This window comes from Homo sapiens, chromosome 2, assembly GCF_000001405.40.
Source record: "Homo sapiens chromosome 2, GRCh38.p14 Primary Assembly".
NCBI lineage: Eukaryota > Metazoa > Chordata > Mammalia > Primates > Hominidae > Homo > Homo sapiens.
Window position 1 is genome coordinate 75,155,596 of NC_000002.12, and position 23,159 is coordinate 75,178,754.

The 23,159-nt window shown below is 38.8% G+C and overlaps 1 protein-coding gene and 1 long non-coding RNA gene across 5 annotated transcripts in view; one reads left to right on the plus strand and one right to left on the minus strand.

The window, feature by feature from the left end:
* TACR1 (tachykinin receptor 1) overlaps positions 1-23,159 on the minus strand; it is a 153,058-nt gene that overhangs the window by 109,133 nt on the left and 20,766 nt on the right. The window lies entirely within an intron of this gene.
* Positions 1-23,159, plus strand: part of TACR1-AS1 (TACR1 antisense RNA 1) — a 125,490-nt gene that overhangs the window by 1,278 nt on the left and 101,053 nt on the right. For 2 of the 3 annotated variants that reach the window (NR_168010.1, NR_168011.1), the window contains exon 2: positions 609-720. This is a non-coding gene — a long non-coding RNA (TACR1 antisense RNA 1). Of the gene's footprint in view, positions 1-602; positions 721-23,159 lie in introns of all 3 variants that reach the window. The other variant, NR_168009.1, reaches the window with a different exon arrangement.

A 23,159-nucleotide genomic window follows, 5' to 3' on the forward strand; every position in this document is an offset into this window, starting at 1 on the left:
ATACAGACAAACAAGGTCAGGACAACCACCCTCCTGCCTTGGAAAATCACCAATTACCCTCCATTATTATATTTCTTGTGAAGCTACATTTACATTTTATCATATCCACATAACAAGAGAGAGAGTTTTAAAAAGGAGAGTGGTCAAATGTATGTCAAGAGACATAGAAACACTTAGAATAATGTAGACAGAACAGATAGCTGGAGTTATTAGAAGGTTATTGGAGACCATCAAAAAGGAATCAAGATGGTTTAGGATATATTCTATTATTCTAACTCAGGATTGGTAAATTATGGCCCATAGGCCAAAGCTGGCCTGCTGCCTATTTTTTTATATGGCTTCTGAGTGAAGAACAATTTTTACATTTTTAAATGATTGAAAAAAATAAAAAGAAGACTATTTCACAAGTAAAAATTCTATGAAATTCAAATTTCAGTGTCCATAAGTTAAGATATCCTGGAACACAGTCACACTATTTGTTTACATATTGTCTATGGCTGCTTTTGTGCTATAACACAGAGTTGAATAGTGTGACAAATATCATATTGTGCATACAAATTATTGTGGTGGGTCCTCGATATGATAACAAGTATTCTTGTAAGCGATAGAAGAGGAGAAGAGACATACAGAGGACAAGGCCATGTCACAACAAGTGGAGACTGGAATTATGCAGCCACAAGCCAAGGAACCTCTGGAACCACCAGAAGCTGGAAATGGCAGGTAAGAATTTACCCAAGAGGCCGGGCGCGGTGGCTCATGCCTGTAATCCCAGCACTTTGGGAGGCCAGGGCGGGCGGATCACAAGGTCAGGAGACCGAGACCATCCTTACCAAAAATACAAAAAAAAAAAAAAAAAAATTAGCCGGGCATGGTGGCAGGCCCCTGTGGTCCCAGCTACTCAGGAGGCTGAGGCAGGAGAATGGTGTGAACCTGGGAGGCAGAGCTTGCAGTGAGTGGAGATCATGCCACTGCCCTCCAGCCTGGGTAACAGAGCGAGACTCCGTCTCAAAAAAAAAAAAAAAAAAAGAAAGAATTCTACCCAAGAGTGTCTGGAGGCAGCACAGCCCTTCCAACACCTCGATTTTGGACTTCTGGTCTACATAACAGTGAGAAAATAATTTTCTTTTGTTTCAAGCCACCCAGTTTGTGGTAATTTGTTATAGCAGCCCTAGGAAATGAATATACTGGTCTTTCATACAAAGTTTACCAACCCCTGTTTCAATCTGTCTTTCTACATTGGATTTGGGTATGCTCATTAGTGTCTAGTTTTCTTCTAAATGAAGTAAAGAGATAGTGAAATGTAGGGATACACTGCATTTCCATTAAAATGACTAAGAGAATGAGAAAGAATGCTCAGCACTATGAAGCTGACAGCTCTTCTCCTCCCATGATGGAGATGGGAGTCGGGGCTGGGTGCTCCATCCATTTCTCCAAAGGACTCATGTCTCCCATGCATTCCAGCTGCTGACCTGGATCAATGGTTTTCAGAAACAGAGGCTAGAAGGGATTATCTCATCAGCTTGTATTCAGGTCTGTGGTAGTGGCAGGGCAGGGGTTGGGGGATTGATAAGGAGGAGGATGAAGAAGGAAAGGCACCACCGTGGAGCAAACTGGTAACTGAGACTTGGAGGAAAGCTAGACCCTTCTCCTCCAAGTCTAAACAAATTCCCTTTCCTTTCATTTTCCTTACTACCATCTGCCCACTGTAGTCCTCCTCACCCACCTATGGAAGCAAGGCTTACCCAGTGACTTTGGGTAGGTACTCAAGCTTCTCTTTCCTACTCTCCCAAAAGAGAGGACTCAGGTCCTGACAAACAAGCATCATAACGACCTACGAAGACAGGATTTGACATAGGAAAATCAGAGCTTGCATTGTTAAGAGTTAAGAAGGGGGATTGTACCCACCTTGTTCCTCCACCTGTTCACAAACAATGTGTCAAAGAAGGGGCAGGTAAGTGGCCAGGCAGCCCTGAAATAGCCTGGGGCCAGGACTGTGACAAATACTCACTGGGAACATCCCCCACCTAAGGGTTGAAGTCAGGAAGAGGAGTGCCCTGTCCTTACACTAGATGGAACTGTTCCTCTATAAAAAAGAAGAAGAAATAAAACCTGATACATGTATTAATCTTATTCAGGGAGATGTGGGTTTTAAGCAATTCAAATATTTCATTCTGTTCTTTCAGTTCTGCCTACTGGCCATTATCAGGAAGATGTGGGAAATAGACTGAAAGAAAATCTTCTGATTATTGAAAGAGAATTTACAGCAGCAAAACAATTTGCAGTGTTTCTACCTAGAGACAGGGAAGTAAGAGAATCTGAGTCCAAGTCCCCACCAAAAAGAGCTTTAGTTTAGAGCCTGTTTCTCAAGAAACTTGCATATGCACACATGAGTTTGGGAAATTCTCATTATTACCTCATAGGTTAGGTCTAAACCTTATTTTAAGACTGAGAAATGGAAACCTAGCTGTGTGAAGAATGCATCAAAGATCATAGAGATGGTTAAGGGCAAAGAGAATACAAGACTCCAACTATGACCCAACTGGGTCCTCCAACACTTTTTACTATCTTTGGATCTGATTCACTTCGGGTAAATGTCTCCTGAGATCTTCCTATGGACGAAGATCGAGCATTTATCGGAAAAGCATTACTCTAGGCAACTATGTAATCAGTAGAATTTTAATTTGACCAAGTGGACATGGAGAGATTTCCACAGCTTATTAACTTTCCCTTGCTCTCTGCCTTTTTCCCAGGCAGAAAATGCATATTATGTATTCCCAGTGTCTGGCTTAATAAGAGGGATTATTATAAAAGGCAGCAATAGGACATCTATTTTCTAAAATATCAAAAAATATGTATTTATTTTGATAAACAGCAAAAATTAAAATGGTCCTGGGGGAAGAGTGCTCTATCGCAGGCCTCAGGCAAAGTTCTAACCTTAGAATCTGTTAGTAGTTAGCAGCAGGGTTAAAAGTTGTTTTTATCAGCTCTGGGTGATTGCCATATATTTTCATCAATTAATTTTTGTTGAAATGCCTGCTGAATATGTGATGTTGCATAGGGAGACAGCTGAATGTTTGCAACATAATCTAATTTGGCAGCTGGGACCTGAAAGCTGAGTATTCCTCAAATCAATATGCCCAGCATCGCAAAGGAAGCAGAACTGAAAAGAGAGGAATGGGTGGTTGGGTGAGATGCTTGCAATGTGGTGATTTAGCTGGAGTTGGGCCTCTGTTCCGAACTCAAACGGTCCCATGTCCCAGGCCTGGCTCTGCCACCAACCAGCTGTGCAGCTTCCAGCAAGTTATCTCAACCTCGAGCATCTGCTTCTTCATCTGTAAATGGAGCTAGTAATTGTACCAACTTTGGAAGACTGTTGTGTTAAGTGCTTTAGAAGTATTATCTCATTTAATTCTTACTACAACCACTACCTGGTAAAATAATTTTTTATTGGTACCTTTTTTTTTTAATGTTTTAGAGAGATAAACAATGTAGCTAATTTTGTAGGAAAGGCCAAAGTAGCTAATTTTGTAGGGGACCTGATTTTTAGTCCAGCTTGGCTGGCAACTAATTTTAGGTCTGTAAAGGTTCAGAAAGTATATCCTGAACACAAGCCCTCCTCAGTTACGTTATTTAAAGTGTTAAATACTCAAGCCAACCGAAACACAAACCAAAGTAAAGAATTTAGATAAGAAAGACATGTGAAAAGGAGGCTACTGGTAAGTACAGAACTCAGTTAAATGTAAATAATTATGAATTAATTGTATTATCTTTTTATTTAAAAATCTAATAAATTCTGATTTTTCTCTCCCCAACTTCCTGTGATATAACTAAGAAAAAACAAAGAGAAACTAGTTTCTGTAAAACTGGAAACTCCGAGAATTCCTCAGTGATATGCCAGGAAACAGGAAGAATTTCCACTAGCCAAAGTTCTGAGGAAGTTACAGGCAGGAAAAAAGATAAGGGTTACCATCTTTTTTTAGTCAATAAAGCTATGCCCACTCTAGGTACTTTCCTTAGAAACATGGAGTCTTCCCAGCAGAGAAAGGAAAGCTAGCCCCAATTTGACTTCTAGAATAATAGAGCCATTTTGACCACACTTTCCCTAATATTAGTTACTGTTTTCTTGCACTGGCTTGAGGCTACAATTACCCATAAAATGTTGTGTGACTAGGAGTGCTTATACCTAGAGGGTCTGGGTGGCAGTTAAAAAGAGCTGAGTCTGACAGAGTCGTAGTGCATTCTGGGAGTTATATTGAATCCTGGAGAAACTATTTACCGAGCATTTACTACATGTCAATAGAGGTACCATTCGCTGGATCAGGCACATAAAGAATTGGGAAGAAGGTCTGACTCTACAGGAATCAATACCACTCATGAAAAGATAGGCAGTGGGACTGGATATCTCCCCATGGCAATATATTCACACTACATACAAGACTTTAAGACAGCAAAAGATGGGCTGGAAAGTAAGAATATCAAACAACACTTGTTCATAAGAGAAGTGAACCAGCAGAGAAAAGAGAAAAGAATTGTACCAGCAGTTATGTGGATAGCCAGGGGAACAAAATTAAAAACATACATTGGGAGTTTTGGGAGTTTACAGGAAAATCTCTCCTGAGCAGACCTTTGCACATTAAAGAATGAGTAAATAGAAAAAAAAATGAAATTGATGACAATGAATTATGAGTACGTATTATAAAAGGAGGGGAACATAATGCTCAAAAGGCAGAAAAAAACAGTTTTGAAAGAAGATTTATAACAAATAAATCTTTGTTTGATTTATTTGTTATGCAAATAAATCCAAAATAAATTAGAAAATATGGTAGTTTTGGACTTTAAAAGCTATTCATAACATGGACACTGTGGAACAGTTCTGACTGGAAATCAAAGGAATAGAAGCTGAAATAAAAAGGAACTTGCTGGGGACAAAAAGGCAGGAATAAAGAATGATTGAGATGAGAAACAATTCTGAAAGAGTTAAAAATGCAGTTACAAAATCGGATTCAGCATCAGAACAGGTAAATTGCAAAAAAGCAAATTAGAAATGAAAGAACCAGCTTTAGAAGTTGCTCCACAATGAAAAGGAAAAGAACAATAAGATAAAAAATAATGGGGAAATAGGGATTCCTGGACAGGAGAACTAACCAATTTGAACAGAAGTAATGATTTAAGACATAACCGAAAAAAAAGTTCCTTAATGAATAAAAGTTGGGATCTGCTTACACTAAGCAAAATCAATATACGTGAGAGAGGGGATACATATCCAGAGATATTCTGATATATTTTCTTATTTCAATGGTAAGGAAAGAATTCTACCAGCCATCCAAGAAGGTAAACATTTTGCCTATAAAGGAAAAATATCAGGCTGGGCTCTAATCTTCTATTATAATGCCAGAAAATAACAGAGCCACATTTACAAAATTATGACATGAGAAATCTTATAGAGTGATAATTGTCTACCTAAGTTGTGCTAAGGTAACAGAAAGAACTTCTCATGAATATAAGAGATCAGGAAGTATATTCACAATACCATTCCTGGAAAAATAAACAAAAACCAAACCCCCCAAAACAAACAAAAACCACACTACTCAAAGACATTAGGGATAAACGGTTGAGAAGAATATTAAAAAAGGAAAGCTGTTTACTAAAAGAATTATGGCAAATCTTGCAAACATTTAAATTGAAAATTAAAGCTTAATAATAGTTATAATATCATTATGAGGCTTATTACAAATGTCAAAAATAGCTCTTTAAAGAGAAAATATACAGCATAATATTTAATAGTAAGAATATGAGTTAACATTCCATAAAAAACTGGGACAGTGAGAGAAAAGAAAAGGGAATTAGAAATACATACTAAAATGTTAATCTTTCACAGAGGTACAATCAATACAGTTTTATTTTTGGCATTGATAGGAAGAAAAGAATAGTTTCAAGTAAGTTATTTTTAATGTAAACTACCAGGAAAATAACAACAGAATGCGCAACTTTCAAGTCATGAGACAAAACAAAGTCAAAGAAAATAGTCCATATAGTAAAGGAGGTATAAAAATGAAAACAGTAGAGAGAACAACAAATCACCTAAAATAGAAGCAGAAGTAGACAAAGCATAGTCACTATTACATGAAACATTAATGGTTAAAACACTTTTATGAAACGAAAATGACTCTAAAAGGTCAGAAGCATGTGAAAAACCATATGGACTTCCTAAAAAAACTATTACTCAGGAAAAGTTACAAACTAAAAGATGGAAAACTTGTGTACAAATATGGCTTATGGATATTGAGCTATATCTTCTCATCAGTTCTGTGGAGAGAAACAGATGGGCAATATTGAGTCTAGGTCAGTGAATGTATCAGGTAATCACTAATCCAGAGGGAATATTAGATGAATTTGTCAAAATTGAAGGAGGAGACCAATTGAGATGCTAACAAGTATTGACTCTTCCAAAAAAAAAAAAAAAAAAAAGAAGTGAGTCTGTGTTGGGGGGAGGGGAAATGTTGGAAACCTTCCAATTAATATCACTCAGGAGCGTATTGAAAATCCATTTGCAGAATGGAAGCCAAAGAATGTTCTGAAAGTGCATTTTAGAATAAAATGTTATTGCTCTGTGACACTTACAAATTCAAAAGAATACAGCCATCCAATTAAAAGTTTACATAATCAGATTTATGAAGGTCAAAGGCATCCTAAAGTATTGCATGCTTTCATTACCCCACCTAAATATTTCTTTAAGCAAAATGGCAGAATCTTTAAAAAATGTGTTAGAGGCACACAGTGTTTTGTTCCCTAACTAATTCTAGCCAATGGCCAATGGTTCTGGATCTCCAAATAGTACTGGAAGAGTGCCAGTGCCTTCATATGAAAGTTTACAATATTTAGTTCTTCTATTTTAGGAAAGAGAACCTTGGGACTAGAATAAAACATGCCAGTGAAAACTGAGAAGCTCCAGCTAGAAGTGAAAAATGTATCAAAGGAAATAGATCTATTTGAGTTCTGTTTTATCTCAGACATACTTAATTATATTTCATGACTTTCTTGGTTAGGAACACAGTTCCCTGTAATTGAAGGTCAATATGATGATATTTTTAGCAATTTTTTGTGCAGTATTTTTTGTCTGAGAGACACTCAAGATTCCACTTTTTTCTGCTTAAAATCTTTTTGCACATTAATTGTATATTACCATTTCATTGAAAGATAGATGACTCAAAAATTTTGTTGATGTTTCAAGGTTGTTAAAATTCCATGCTAGAATCCCAGTTACAATCTGCTATACTTGAGTATGAAGAACTATGCATTTATCATGCGTGGAAGAGACTACTGGGCCTACCTCATATTTTCCCTGTCCTGGTCCCATAAGAGATTATACTTCCCAGTCCGTTTGCAACTAGGCAAGGCTGTATGAATAAGTCTAACCAACAAAATGTGAGTGAAAGTGATGTGTGCCACTTCCTGGCTAAGGCAGTTAAGAGCTGACATGACACTTCCACTTCCCTCTTACCCAGTCATGGCAAACTTGGAAGTCATGTGTTGAAATGACAGTGTCACAGAATGGAGGGAGATTTGATCCCTGAGTCAGCAGATGGTGGAGAGTCCCCATTGATTCACAGGAGACTTTGGGAGAGCAAGCACCAAAGTGCTGTGCTAACTAGAGAAGTCAGGGTTTGTCTATGGCAACTTTTATCAATTTTTTTACCCTTACATAAGCTTTTTTGTGCTTTCCTTTTGGGCTCAAGTTCTTTAGGACCTAAGAATATTTATTTGCCTTGAATGAAAATGTGAATCAGTTCACAGCAGTACAAACTCACAGAGTACAAACTCTAAAATAAAGGCATTTACATAAGTCTTAATAATAAGTTTTGTGTTTCATAGGCATATATTCTATTAAATGCAATTCTAAATGGATTGCTTGGCAGGGCAAAGGTAAATGTTGCCAGATTTCTTATAATTTTTAAAGTACCTCTTTATCAGATAAATGAGAAAAAAGTTGAAATAGAAACAGTGAACTCTGAACTTCTTCCCTAATGACTTATTCTACAAAGTTGGTGCACAGGTGTGTTAAAAATATGATATTCAACGTTGTTTTCATTAGAAGTATTTTATGACTTATTTTGAAGAAAATAATCAATTCAATATAAAAATGTAGATGTCTTAGTAGTAAGGGAAGAGAGCAAGGGAGAGAGAGAGTGATTTGTATCCCAATATTGCATTATTACTCTTCATGGATTTAGTCATTTGATTCAATGAAATTTAAAATGAATCATTTAAGTTTCTTCATGTTAGTTAACCAGTCTATATTTTGCACAAAATGATTCTTCTATTTCTTTGGAGTATTTCATGAAGTGATATAAAATTATCACCCTTGTCTTGAAAAAAAAAATCTCCTAAAAAAGTAAACAAATGGAGGTACAAAAACAATCAAGCAAATACAAACTAAGAAAGCAGGAGTGGGCCGGGTGCAGTGGTTCACAACTGTAATCCCAGCACTTTGGGAGGCCGAGGCGGATGGTTCACGAGGTCAGGAGATCAAGACCATCCTGCCTAACATGGTGAAACCCCGTCTCTACTAAAAATACAAAATATTAGCCAGGCGTGGTGGCGGGCACCTGTGATCCCAGCTACTCGGGAGGCTGAGGCAGGAGAATGGCGTGAACCCAGGAGGCAGAGCTTGCAGTGAGCTGAGATCATGCCACTGCACTTCAGCCTGGGTGACAGAGCAAGACTCCATCTTAAAAAAAAAAAAAAGAAAAAGCAGGAATGACAATATTTATATTGTACAAAATAAAAATAATAGAAAAATAATTATGACTAAATGAATTATCTTGTAAGAATTAAAGACATTATCTAAAAAGGTATAACAATAATGAAAATTGAACGCAGTACGTGAAATAGATAATTTTCTGGCAAAATACAAATGACCCAGTCCAACTGAAGCATAAACTGATAATCTAAAAAGGACAATAGTCTTGGAAGAAAATGAAAAATAATCTGTTGAATTACTTTGGGCTCAGGCAGTTTGAAAGGTAAACTTAAAAAAAAAATTATGTGATAACTATTCCTGTACAAAGAAAAGTAGGTAAAAGCACTGAATTGATTTCATGAAGCAGAGTTAATTTTCTATGACTGTAGTTACACTGGCTCCGAGTGCTCCTGGAAGGCTCTGTCATTTGGGCTCCTGTCTCACCATGCCCACTGCTAATTGGTCTAGCTCAAGCCTTAACTTGGCCTCTGCAGAGGTTGCTAACAATGCTCAGTCCCAAGTTCCATTAACACTTTATGAAAATAATTAGTTATAAGAAGCCATAGATAGAGCAAAGTCAAGGCATGAAGTTGGATCCATGACCATGTGACACTGAACTTGTCCCAATCCTTCTCCTGAATTTTATGATTCATCCTATTGTAGAGGATGTGTGGAGGGGTGGATGCATGGGACCCAGCATGAGCAGGAGCATTGGATCAACCACCTGAGCATCCATGTTAGTCTTACTATCTTCCCAAAGGGCTTATCAGAAGCTAGACGAGGGTTTGGATTAGATTCCTATAACGAAAACCACTAAGACAAAATACCTCAGCATAATTGGTCACAACTCCCACTTCTGGCCTTAATCCCTTTTTGAACGAAAGATCTGCTCACTACAACCTCCTTAATTAAGGATACTCAAGGGACGATGCCCACTTGGGGCTGGTGTCCCATCTTCCATTCTTTTTTATTTTATTTTACTTTATTTTTTTGAGACAGAGTCTCGCTCTGTCACCCAGGCTGGAGTGCAGTGGCGCGATCTCGGCTCACTGCAAGCTCGCCTCCAGGGTTCACACCACTCTCCTGCCTCAGCCTCCCGAGTAGCTGGGACTACAGGCAACCGCCACCATGCCCAGCTAATTTTTTGTATTTTTAGTAGAGAAGGGGTTTCACCTTGTTAGGCAGGATGGTCTCAATCTCCTGACCTCGTGATGCCCCTGCCTCAGCCTCCCAAAGTGCTGGGATTACAGGCGGGAGCCACTGCGCCTGGCCCCATCTTCCATTCTTCAGGTCAGAGCATTGGGCCACTGGAGTAGTCTGGGAGGGGCCTTTGACTTCTCTGCCCCTAAAAGTGAGTTCTCATAAAATATGGTGCGCCCAGGCTAACGCTGGTACTTATTATGGCAAATCCTTTAGCTTCAGGTCCCTGCTCTTTTTGTCCTCCACTTCTGATATGACAAATGCCCAACAGTGGAGGCAGGAAGACAGCCCACCTTCTGTCAGAGCCTACTCCCCAGCTCATGTTTCTCTGTCCCTCCGTTGTATAGCAAACTCTTGCCAAGCCTTTTGGAATGACTTTTTAACAAGAAAAGCCCCATACTTTAATGGGCCAATTCAAACAACTGACATCTGTTAAAGAAGCACACAAATATCCTTTAAGTCCTTAACCTTTAATTAAAAAGTCATGCAAATGTACATTTCCTAAAGGGATACTTTTCCCCTCACTGTGATTAGAGAGGAGTGAGACTCTAGGTCAATCCAAAACATGCAATCATATAGGCACATTGCTCTATTAAAACAAAAATGATTTAATATTAAAACATTCATTATTTAATAAAATGTCACATCATTAGTTTAGGGGAGAAAAACGTGGTCATCTGGAGACAGACTAGAAATTGATTCAGTAAAATTCAACATCCATTTTTGATAAAATCTCAGAAACTAGCGCAAATCTTTTCTTTACAGGATGAAAAGTATCACAAATCAACAAACATAGAATGATGAAATTATAAAAGCATTCCCATTATATTTTGAATGTTCACTATTTAAATATTAAACATATTTTAATGTGTTTTAATATGAAGGCTGCTTTAAGAAATTCAATAAAATAGTATAATCAACTGACTTGAACATTGCAGAGGATAGTGATGAAAACTTAGTCGTTGGCCAATCAATCAGCGCTCCTTCTGTCTTACCACTCCTCAAACCCCACTCCCACACACCTTTATTGGTCTTTGGCCTTGGGGCTCTCACTGACTCTTCCAGAGATAGCAATCAATCTGGCCAATAGTCTCAAGATATTTTCAAAGAGAGCAAGAGTGAGAGAATGAGAGCACAGCAAGTGAGTGGGCTAGAGATTGTGGGCGGCTGGGGTTGCAAAATGTAAAACTTGGAGGCTATTAGAGGTTACATCCTCTTTTATTTGGTTCAGGTTATCTGAGGAAAACTGTTTGTTGGAAGAGAGAAGGATGGAGCAGACATACAGAGAAGTGCAGATATAGGAAAGTCTAGTTCTAGGTCATCCTGAGATGCAGCTGCTGTGCTGCATTTGGGTTATAGATGCCTTAGTGTTCTTATAATAAAATGTGCTTTTTGCTTATGGTAGTTCTAAATGAGCTAATACCAAGAGGCAGTTAGTTACTAAATAGATAGCAAACATTGGATTTTTAAAAAATATGCTCACAATAGCAATAAATAAGACTACATTATGATAATAAAAATATTTTTCCACACTTAGCAACAAAAAGATAAACGACAGGAACAATGAAACTAAAATGTGCAGGACATCTGTATGAGAAATACATTCAGTGCTTGTCAGAGGTAAAATGGAAAACTTAAAAATGGAAGGCTTATAATTGAAAGGAAATTAATTATCCCCCAATGTTTTTATATTTTAATGCAATTCCAATAAAATCACAGTGAAATTCTTCTTGGACCATGACTTAATGATTCTAAAGTTCACATAGGAAAATAAACTGGCAAATGGGCCCAATAGATCAGAAACAGAGAGTAGCATGGTGTATATAGGAGGGTGGCAGAAGGTACCTGCTTGCCTTGTCAGATATCAGAATAAAGTCCTAATAATCAAAACATTGTGATATCAACATGAGGATTGAAAGATGGATCAAACAACTGTAATAAAATGCCTAGAAACAAACCCTACTACTTACAAGAATTTAATATAAAGTACCATGACATTATAAATTTATGGAAAAGAGAAACATTTGCCAAGACATCCTTCTGGCACAATTGGTAAACTATTTGGAAAAAAATTTCATTATCTCACTCATACAAAAACTACAAGGAAATAGAGGCAAATATCTTGGGGTGACAGAGAACATTTTAAACTAAAAATCAGTAGTGAACAAATAAATGCTTGGTATATTATGTAGAACTCTGAATGTCAAAAAGATCTCAGAAAAATTAAGAAAAAATAACCAACTTGAAGTATATTTGTATCTTATAGTAAAAGAGTTAATATTCTTAACACAGACAACTCTTACAAACCAATTTAAGAAATAAGCCAATAAATTCAAATAGAAAAATGATACCATTGTTCACTCATCAAATTGTCAAATATAAAAAAAAATTGAAGCAGATACATGGTCCCCAGTTGCCAAGAAGCAAAATTGGGCATTTTCATACACCACTGGAGAAAGATGAGTTCAGAACTCTCAAGAAGTAAATTCACCAACATGTCAAGAGTTTTGGTATTTAAAAAAATAATCTTTGACTTGAAATTCCAATTTTAGAAGTTTGCCCTGTGGAAATACTCAGTTTTCACAGACTATGTAGAAGAATACTTGTTGTTTATTATTTTAAAAATCTCTAAACAAATGTCAAACAAAGGAGAATTGGTTAAACGAGCTATGACCATATAATAATGGGATAGGCAGAATAGTGCCCCTCCACTCCCAAAAGTTTAAACTCTAATCCCAGGAGTCTGTGATTATGTTACCTGACATGGCACAAATGACTTTGCAGATGTCATTAAGTTAAGGGCCTCGAGATAAGGAGATCATCCTGGTTAATTAGGTCTGCCCAATCTAATCAGGTGGGGCCTTAAAAGGCAGAGAATCTTTCTTAGCTGTGGTCCTAGAGAGGCATGGTAGCAGCTGAATGGTCACAAAGATGCTGTGTTACTGGCTTTGAAGATGGAGGAAGGGGGCAGTGAGCCAAGGAATGCCTTTGGCCTCTAGAAGCTAGAAAAAGCAAGGAAACATTCACCCCTACAGTGTCAGGAAAGAACACAGCTCTGCCAACACCTTGATTTCAGCTCACTGTTGATCTGTGGCGGACTTCTCCCCAACTGTAAGACAATACGTTTGGGTTGTTTCAAGCCATTAAATTTATGGTAATTTGTTACAGTAGCAATGGAAAACTGATACAAATGGGCTGATTTGCTATCAGTAATTAAAAATCATTTTGGTTAAGAACCTATTTAGTTACATGTAAAAAGCGGATTACAAAATTGTTTAAGTACAGCAGCCTAGTTCCAATGATGAAATGTGAATATAGTAGCAATGATTATTTCTCGGTGTTGTAATCACCAGAGACTTTTTCCCCTACTTGATTTTCTATTTTCCAAAATAAACACCTCTTCCCTTTGTAATCAGAAAAAAATACAAAGAAATATTAGGTAAAATACACTTTAATCTACATTTCTCTAATTATTAAATCAGAATAACCTAATTTACAATCGCTTTATTTCTTAAGGCAAATACTTATTTCTACCTTCCCAACCCTAATTAAATCTTTATCTAATACTTTCTGAAAAGTATTATTGTTTTTAATAAAATATAAATCTCTTTCAAGGCTTATTTTCTTAAATTTCATTTTTTGGTTTCAATTTAATTACATATAACAACTGAGTGGAAATCATGTTTGATAGATTACAATTCTCATAATCACTTCTTTTGTTTCGTTTATTCCTCCTTTGAGTCCTCAATTTTGATTCATTTATTCACTAGTTATAGTATGTCTTTGTATTGGTTTAGTTTTTATCTAAGAAAAGGATGTGATGGTTCTACTCTCAAAACCTTGCATATCTGAGAATATCTTTCATGCAGGAATAACAATGAGTAACAATGTGGCTAAGTATATAAGGTCATAATATTTTCTGCTAAAAATTCTATATGGATTTTGCTCAATTACTGTCTGACATTTATTGCCATCTATCAGAAGACTGAGATCAGAATAATTTTTGTTTCCTTTTAGTTATCTTTTATTTTTCTTGCTAGGATAGATGAAGACATTTTACAATTTAAACCTGGAATTCAAAATTTTACCATAAAGTGAAAGGAATATTAATGGGTATAGATTTTTTTCCATTGATGTTACTTTGAATATGTGAGCCCATTTTATATTGATTCTGGAAAGTAGATTCTGCTCAGGAAAGTTTTATTCTATTGTAATTTTATGATAGCTATTCAACTTATGCTGGTTTCTTTTTCAAGAATAACTAGTATGTGGAGTTGGATTTCTGGCTTGTCTTTTTCATAACTAATGATTTTTCTCTCCAGTTTTCATTTTTTCTTCCCCTTTCGTCTCTGTTCTAGAGCTTGAATTTTTCTTCTACATGACAAATTTGGGTTTTCTGTTTCCATTACTACCTTCAATGCAATTTTATTTCCAAAATTGCATTTTTAGATTTCTTTTGTTTTTTTCCTTTCTCTTAGCCAGACCCTTTTGATTTTCTTATCATCTGACTTTTCCATTTGAGAGAGGAAACATTTTCTTGTATATTCAGAGAACCTAATGCAGTGATACGGTTTGGTTGTGTCCCCACCCAAATCCCATTTTGAATTGTAGCTTTCATAATTGCCACGTGTCATGTTGGGAACTGTTGGGAGGTAATTGAGTCATGGGGATGGGTCTTTCCCATGCTGTTCTTGTGATAGTGAATAAGTCTCAGGAGATATGATGGTTTTATAAAGAGGAATTCCCCTACATAAGCTCTCTTGCCTGTTGCCATGTAAGACATGACTTTGCTACTCATTTGTCTTCAGCCAAGATTGTGAGGCCTCCCTAGCCATGTGGAACTGTGAGTCAATTAAACCTCTTTCCTTTATAAATTACCCAATCCTGAGTATGTCTTTATTAGCAGCATGAGAACAGACTAATACAGTAAATTGGTACTGGTAGAGTGGGGTGCTGCTGTAAAGATACCTGAAAATGTGGAAGCCACTTTGGAACTGGGTAACAGGCAGCGGTTGGAACAGTTTGGAGGGCTCAGAAGACAGGAAGATGTGGGAAAGTTTGGAACTTCCTAGAGACTTGTTGAATGGCTTTGACCCCAAAATGCTGATGGTGATATGGACAATAAAGTCCAGGCTGAGGTGGTCTCAGATGGAGATGAGGAACTTGCTGGGAACTGGAGCAAAGGTGGCTCTTATTATGTTTTAGCAAAGAGACTGGCAGCATTTTGCCCTTGCCCTAGAGATTTGTGGAACTTTGAACTTGAGAGAGATGATTTAGGGCATCTGGCGGAAGAAATTTCTAAGCAGCAAAGTGTTCAAGAGGTGAATTGGGTACTGTTCAAAGGATTCAGTTTTATGTAGTCACAAAGATATGGTTTGGAATTGGAACTTATGTTTAAAAGAGAAGCAGGCCATAAAAATTCAGAAAATTTGCAGCCTGATGATGCGATATGAGGAGAAATTCAAGCCGGCTGCAGAAATTTGCATAAGTAATGAGGAGCCAAATGTTAATCTCCAGGACAATGGGGAAAATGTCTCCAGGGCATGTCAGAGGTCTTCACTGCAGCCCCTCCCATCACAAACCAGGAAACCTAGGAGGAAAAAATGGTTTCATGGGCTGGGCCAGGGGCCTTGCTGCTTTGTGCAGTCTCTGGAGTTGGTGCCCTGTGTTCCAGCTGTGGCTAAAAGGGGCCAAAGTATAACTCAGGCCATTGCTTCAGAGGGTGCAAGCCCCATGCCTTGGCAGCTTACATGTGGTGTTGGGTCTGTGGGTGCACAAAAGTCAAGAATTGATGTTTGGGAACCTCTGCCTAGATTTCAGAGGATGTATGAAAATGCCTGGATGTCCAGGCCGAGGTGTGCTGCAGGGGTGAGCCCTCATAGAGAACCTCTACTAGGGCAGTACAGAGGGAAATGTGGGGGTGATCCCCTACTCAGAGTTCCCACTGGGGCACTGCCTAGTGGAGCTGTCAGAAGAGGGCCACCATCCTTCAGACCCCAGAGTAGATCCACCGACCGCTTGCACTATGTGCCTGGAAAAGCCACAGACAATGCCAGCCCATGAAAGCAGCCAGGAGGGGGACTGTACCCTGCAAAGCCACAGGAGCAGAGCTGCCCAAGACCATGGGAGCCCTCCTCTTGCATCAGCGTGACCTGGATGTGAGACGTGGACTTTAAGATTTGACTGCCTTGCTGGATTTTGGACTTGCATGGGGCCTGTAGCCCTTTTGTTTTGGCCAATTTCTCCCACTTGGAATGGGTTTATTTACCCAATGCCTTTATCCCCGTTGTATCTAGGAAGTAACTAACTTGCTTTTGATTTTACAGGCTCATAGGCAGAAGGGACTTGCCTTGTCTCAGATGAGACTTTGGACTGTGTTTTTTTGAGCTAATGTTGAAGTGAGCGAAGACTTTGGGGGAATATTGGGAAGGCATGATTGGTTTGGAAATGTGAGGATGTGAGAGGGACCATGGGTGGAATTCAGGTATTTCTTCATAGCAGTATGAAAATGGACTAATGCATGCAGATATTTTGATTGTTTTCTCTTTCTTGTGCTAAATTATTGAAAATAATGCCTTTTCTAATTCATCAGAAGAGTGCTCTCCTCATTTTGTGCTATAGAATCTTTCTTACAAACCCCATTGTTTTCTTGAATGGAGAACCAGCCAAACTGGGTTTGACAAACAGGGGCCATTGAACATTTGATAACTGGCAGAATCCTTTCTAGCATCTAAATCTGGAAGGCACCCTGAACAGCCCCATCCCAAGTTTTTGAACCTAGAAAGTGTTAATTTTGTGTACTTTTGCTGAACTGAGGTGGAAATTACTCTTTTTGCAAATGCCTGTTTCTCTGTAAGAAAGAATAGTCACATAATTCTTTAATCTGAGAAGGAATATGAGAAAAAAAGTTCCTTGGACACTTTTCTTTTCGGGCTGTCCCCCGTCTAGGCAGCCCCCTTCCATGTCTTCCCTAAGGGGCCTGAACACACATCTCAGATGCCTGAGATGTGTGTTCCCTGTCCCTTCCCTGTCTTCTCCTTGCTCTGCAGTACCCTAGAAGTTGTAGCTCCCCAGGACAAGAGGCTCTTAAGTGGGAAAGAGAATGGAACGAATATATTCTTCTGGTCACCTCAGAAAATTATGACTTGCCCCAGCATCTGCAATACCTGCTTCCTCTTATTAACAGCAGAAAGTACTTGCATTCGTTTGAAAAATAGAAATTTATTTATAGTTTTGGAGGCTAGAAGTCCAAGGTCCAGAAATTGGCAGAGTTGGTTCCTTCAGAGGGTTATGCAGGGAAGGATTTATTCAGATCTTTTTCCTTGGCTTGCAGATGGCCACCTTCTCCCCGTATCTCTTCATATTGCCTTTCCTCTATGTGTCCAAACTTCCTTTTTTTTAAAATCAGGATACTGGTCATACTGAACTGGTGCCTACCCTAATGATCTCATTTTAACTTATTACTTCTAAAAATCCTATCAGCAAATAAGGCCACATTCTGAGACACTGGGGATTAGAACTTCAACTTATGAATCTTGGGGTGGGGGGTCAGGAACGGACACAATTCAACCCATAACAGTGCTGGCAAATGACTCCTCCATCTTTAATCCTGGAGGAGGTGCAACTCCAGGTAAGGGGTCAGGGGATGGATAGGCTTGGTAAACTTCTTGCAATCCAGTAAAAATTGCCCCCATTCACTGGTATAAATTCAGCTGTTAACCTTAGTACCCAATGCAGTTGTAGGTTTCCATAATTTTTTCTACTTTGCTGAGTATTATATTGCAAGAATAAAGCCTGACTGCCAGATTAATCTGGAAGTTCCAGTCATGAAATATTCGTTTATAAATAAGTGATTTTTTTGAGCCTGCTTTACTGTAACTATACTATACCTCATCACTGCCAATTGTATTAATGACTTTTGGGGTTATTTATCAAACCATGAATAATAATTAGGGGTCATTTTCCATCAAGGAAGTTGGCTTTTGGTCTACTTGACAAATAAATCTTGTTAGACTAAAGAAGAAACATCAAAAATGAAGGAAGAATGGAAATGACTGAAGGAATTTAGCAGCTGCCATCTCTACAATGAAGCTGGGGAAAAAGGAGGAAACAGCTCCTTCCCTAACCTTCCTGCAGGAGTGAGCCTCCAACCAATCCTAAATTGAAGTTTTGTCTAATTACACTACAATTATCTACTCTTTTAACTTGAAAGTATATTCATCATACTTTTCCCTCACTAGAAAGAACATCCTTTGACTTGGTAATGATCAAGCTACATTGTTAAGTCAAGAGAAAGGCAGAAATGAGATCTTCCTGTTCTTATGCAAAGAACAGTTCTGTAATGAGGTGTCTTACTCTGCTCCATTTTTTCTGAGCCACTTGGCCTTCCCAGAGGACAGACAGCCTGATGTGCTAAACACCAGTCTCCCTGGTGAGGGCTAATTACAACACTGCAGCTCAGGAACAAAACAATCATTCTCTTTGCTTCACTCCTCACACACTCTCCTGCCTCACTCCCAAAACCCAGGAACTTTTCCTGACTTGGCTCCCAATCTGCCATTACCATCTCTGAATTCTGTGGTCCTTTCTCTTGATATGATACCCCAAATCCCCCACTGAACCCTCAAGTAGTATCATTGTTATGACATCCACTGCAACACTGAAGACTATTCTGTATTGTTTTCTAGTATTTTCTACTGAAAGCACTTGCTAAGCATACAACACCTTTGCAGATAGAGTAGTCTCCTCTTACCTGCAGGGGTTACGTTCCAAGACCCCCAGCAGATGCCTGAAACCATGGATGGTACTGAACCCTATATATATAGACTAAATTATGTTTTTTTGATCTGATAACCAACAGGGCTATTAAGTGACTAACGGTAGGTAGCATAGACAGTAGATACACTGGGACAAAGTGATGATTTACGTCCTGGGTGGGCTGGAGTGGGACAGTGTGAAACTTCATCAGGCTACTCAAAATGGTGTGCAAAGTAAAACTCATGAATTGTTTATTTGTAAAATTTTCCATTTAATATTTTCAAACCCTGGTTGACCGTGGGTAACTGAAACTGCAGAAATGGAAACCGTGGATAAGGGGGGACTATTGTAATAGCAAATGGTTGCTGACAGAGGAAGAGGTGTAATGTAAAAGAAGTTTCTTTTTCTCCTCTCTTCTTAATCCATAGCAATGGAGAGTGAAAGGAGAATCACTTCTATTTCCATTTCAATTGTATCAATTCTCCCTGGTGAGAATTTGCATAATGGTTGGGGATTTCATTAAAGATATCTCCCTAGGAAACTAGATAGCTATGGATTTTGATGACTTCTATTACCAAAGAGAGATTCTGTTCTCAGGCCCAATTTCAGGGGCAGAGGATGATGAGGGGCTGAACACAGGCTTTTAAGAAATCAATTCAGGAGTCTTTATAGATTGATCAGAATCCCAATAGTTTATTGATTTTTACTCTGAAATAATGTCTCCTTTGAGGCTACTGAGTTCCAAGTAACTAAAGGCCAATGAAAGTATCTTTGACACTGTTTCTAGCTCACAAAAGTCCTCAGATATGAATTCCCTCAAATCCCTTTGCTTCTAGATGGTGAGTACTTCCTTTTGCAAATTGGATATTTGTGGGAAGTGTGTTTTGTCACAATGACTCAGGGGAGCTCCTGGCATTTTGTTGTGGGAACCAGGAACGCTAGATGTCCTGCAGTGAGTGGTATTGGTCCTGCACAAGGAAATATTGTCCCACGCCCCAAATGATTTTTGAATGTCCCTCCAGATATTCATGCAGGTGAAAAATCTTATAATTACCCAAACCTAGAACTTATCTCTGATTTTAATATAAATAAAGTGAATAGTTCCTATTGCTGCTCAAAACGACACAAATTTCTTCACACAGTTCTGGGGTTCAGAAATCCAAAGTGAGTTTTGCTGGCTTAAAATAAAGATGTCCTTGCAGAGACTCTAGGAGAATAACTTTGACCCTTCTTTTTTCAGATTCTAGAGGCTGCCTTTATTTCTTTGCTCATGGCCTTTTGCTCTGTTTTCAAAGCCAGCAGCATAGCATCTTCAAATCTCTCTCTGACTTTGACCCTCCCGCTGACTTTGATCCTCCTCCTTCCCACTTTCACTGCGAGGCTGCTTGTGATTACATTGAGCCCACCCAGAATGCCCAGGGAAACTTCCCTATCTCAATATCCTTAGCTTAATCACATCTGTAAAGTCCTCTGTGCCGTGTAAAGTGACATAGTCACACATTCTAGGGATTACAATGTAGACATCCTTGGGAAGGCATTATTCTGCCTATCATAGAAAACATACATTTTGAACTTTGAAAACAGATATCCTGGATTTTCTCAGAAGCTAACTACCATATACATCAAAGAAGATTTTATTTTCTTTTATTGCCGATAATTAATCCTCATTTCAGAAATCACATTACTGACTGTAGCATGGCTCACTATGTTTGAGCTGTCCAAAAAAAAAAAAAAAAAAAAGGAAACAGAAAAAAGAAACCCCACTCTTGTATCTGCCATCCATTGCTACTACATTCTTTTTATTTTAAATAACAGTGTAAGCCTAGCAGATTCATCCTCTATCCTAATGTTGTGTGTCTGATGTTCAATTTCCATATTGAAAAGCAGAGTATTTTATTATAAACTGCTTTTTTCTCATTCTCTTTTATAATACAGTTAGGACATTATATTGATTTTTTTCCTTGAAATTGCATATATAGGTAGATTGTAATATCTATAAATTTTTTTCATTATAGTAAAGGAGACATTATACATTTTTTTTTTTTTAAGTACAGCATTAAGTCGTCTATGGGCATCTCAGATTCCAGGTTCCTCTCTCGGTTGGAGAGTCTTCTCCACGCCAACACTATGCATTGTGTTTTACTCCCTTCAATCTCCTTTAAAACTTCAATCTCCTTTAAAACTCCTCTGAGCCTATCCTTGCTGAGCTCATCAAGCAATTCCCTCATAATAGATTCTATAGTTCTGGTGGCATTCCACTCCCCAAATGGACTTTCCCAGAAGATTTCTGGGGGAGGCCGCTAGCCATCTGAGACTCTTCATCTAGACTGCTGTTCCACAGCAGGACTTTGGGGACTCTGATGGAGCCCCAAGTACTCCCCACAAGGCCTCTACCTTGTCCTCCCTGCACCACCTGCCTCATCACAAGATGTCTCAGTGTCTAATGTCAAGTAGGAAACTCTAATTAGGAAGATGGGCCTTCCTCTTAATGACCCCCAGGACCAATCTCATCATTCCTTACTTCCCTGACCACCACCAGAGGTCTGGGCTTCTCAGTGAACAGTGACTAGGCTTTTATCTCCAATATGGCTCCAAACATTTTCCTACACTGATGTAGTCTCCTGCTCTCCCTGACCCCCAAGGAACACTGTCTTCAGCAAAATCCTCAACCTCTTCTTCAAAGATTTCCTTCACCTTTTCACTGCCTCAAACTTGGCTGTTCCAGGAAACCACTTCCAACACTGCAGTCACCTCAGATGGTGGCTGTTCCTCCTCCACAGTCCACCCACCACAGAGCCGGCACCAGGAGTACTTGCTGCCCCCCACCACCACTTCCAGAATTTTACTCTGTCTTTCTCTTTCAGACCCCACCCCCTCTGAAGCACTTGACTACACCATCTGCCTGCTGCACCATGTTGAAGCCATTTCTTGACTCATTTATTGCTCATTCCCTCTCGTTCGTTGGACCTTTTCACCCCTGGCTCATTGTCTTCATCCCCACCACTGTTCCTGTCTTCACGTTTGGTGACAATAGTATCCACATACATGATTAATTCAACTCCCTGACTCAGTTTCTTGTCGTCCTCACTTCCAATATAGTTTTCTCCACTTGCCTCTAGCCTTCCACTTTCATGTTAAATCATTATCTGGACTTTGTTATCAACAATAACTACATCATTTTCAAAATGTCTATTTTAAGCCTCTCACTGTCTGACCATTGCCTCCTGTCTTTCCAGTTCATGCACTTTTTAGTTGAAGTCCAACAATTCTTAATACTCATCAGGATCTCTAGCCCATTGATTGCACCACTTTTATCTTCTATCTCCTACCCACGTCCTTGCTTCTTTGTTTACCTCACTTAGATTCCACCCACCACCCTACAGTCACTCCTCACATATGCCCTTGACTCCACTTTACTCCTCTCACAAAACCCCAATGCTAATAATTTTCTGCCTGCTCTATGCCTACATGACAGGAAGCCATACGTTATGTTGACTGATTTCTAAATTCTCCCATTAATTCACAAATCTCAAGGCATGCTTCAACATTGCTTGACAATCCCCAAATATTTCTGTAGTCACTTCACCCTCCAGCTCCACAACATGACGATTTCACTTTTCCTCTCCTCTCAACCTCTAACACCTCCTTCCTCACCTTCGTCTATGACCTTATTTTTTATTTCTTTGGGAAAACAGAAGCAATAAAAATGAGCTGTCATTTTATCATAAAATCTACCAGTCTATCTTCACCTTTACCCATATGTCCACCTTCCCTCTAGATCCAGAAGATCTACTTCATTTTGAAGGACAACCTGGACCCATATGCTCACTTAAAACCTTTGCTCCTACATTCATTCATCCCTCACTAGCATCATACATTTCTTTCAATTTCTCTCTTTTTTTTTTTTTGAGACAGAGTTTCGCTCTTTGTTGCCCAGGCTGGAGTGCAGTGGTGTCATCTCGGCTCACTGCAACCTCTGCCTCCTGGGTTCAAGCGATTCTCCTGTCTCAGCCTCCCAAGTAGCTGGGATTGCAGGCACCCTCCACCACGCCTGGCTAATTTTTGTATTTTTAGTAGAGACGGGGTTTCACCATGTTGGCCAGGCTGGTCTCAAACTCCTGACCTCAGGTGATCTGCCCGCCTCAGCCTCCCAAAGTGCTGGGATTACAGGCGTGAGCCACTGCACCTGACAATTTCCCCATTCTTATTTCTATTCAAACATGCTACAATACCTTTCCCCATTGAAAAAAAAACAACTCCCTTAAATCAATGACCTTTCTACCTAATACACTTTCTCTTTTCTCCCACTTATAACTCCACTTCTCCCCTCACATTCTTCTGTTAGCTCACCACTTTAATGAAGCCACTCTTGAGTAAGTAATGATCTCGTCTTGTCAAATCTAGTGGTCCAGTCTTGGTCCTCATTTTACTTAACTTCTCAGCAGTTTATGACACGTAGGTA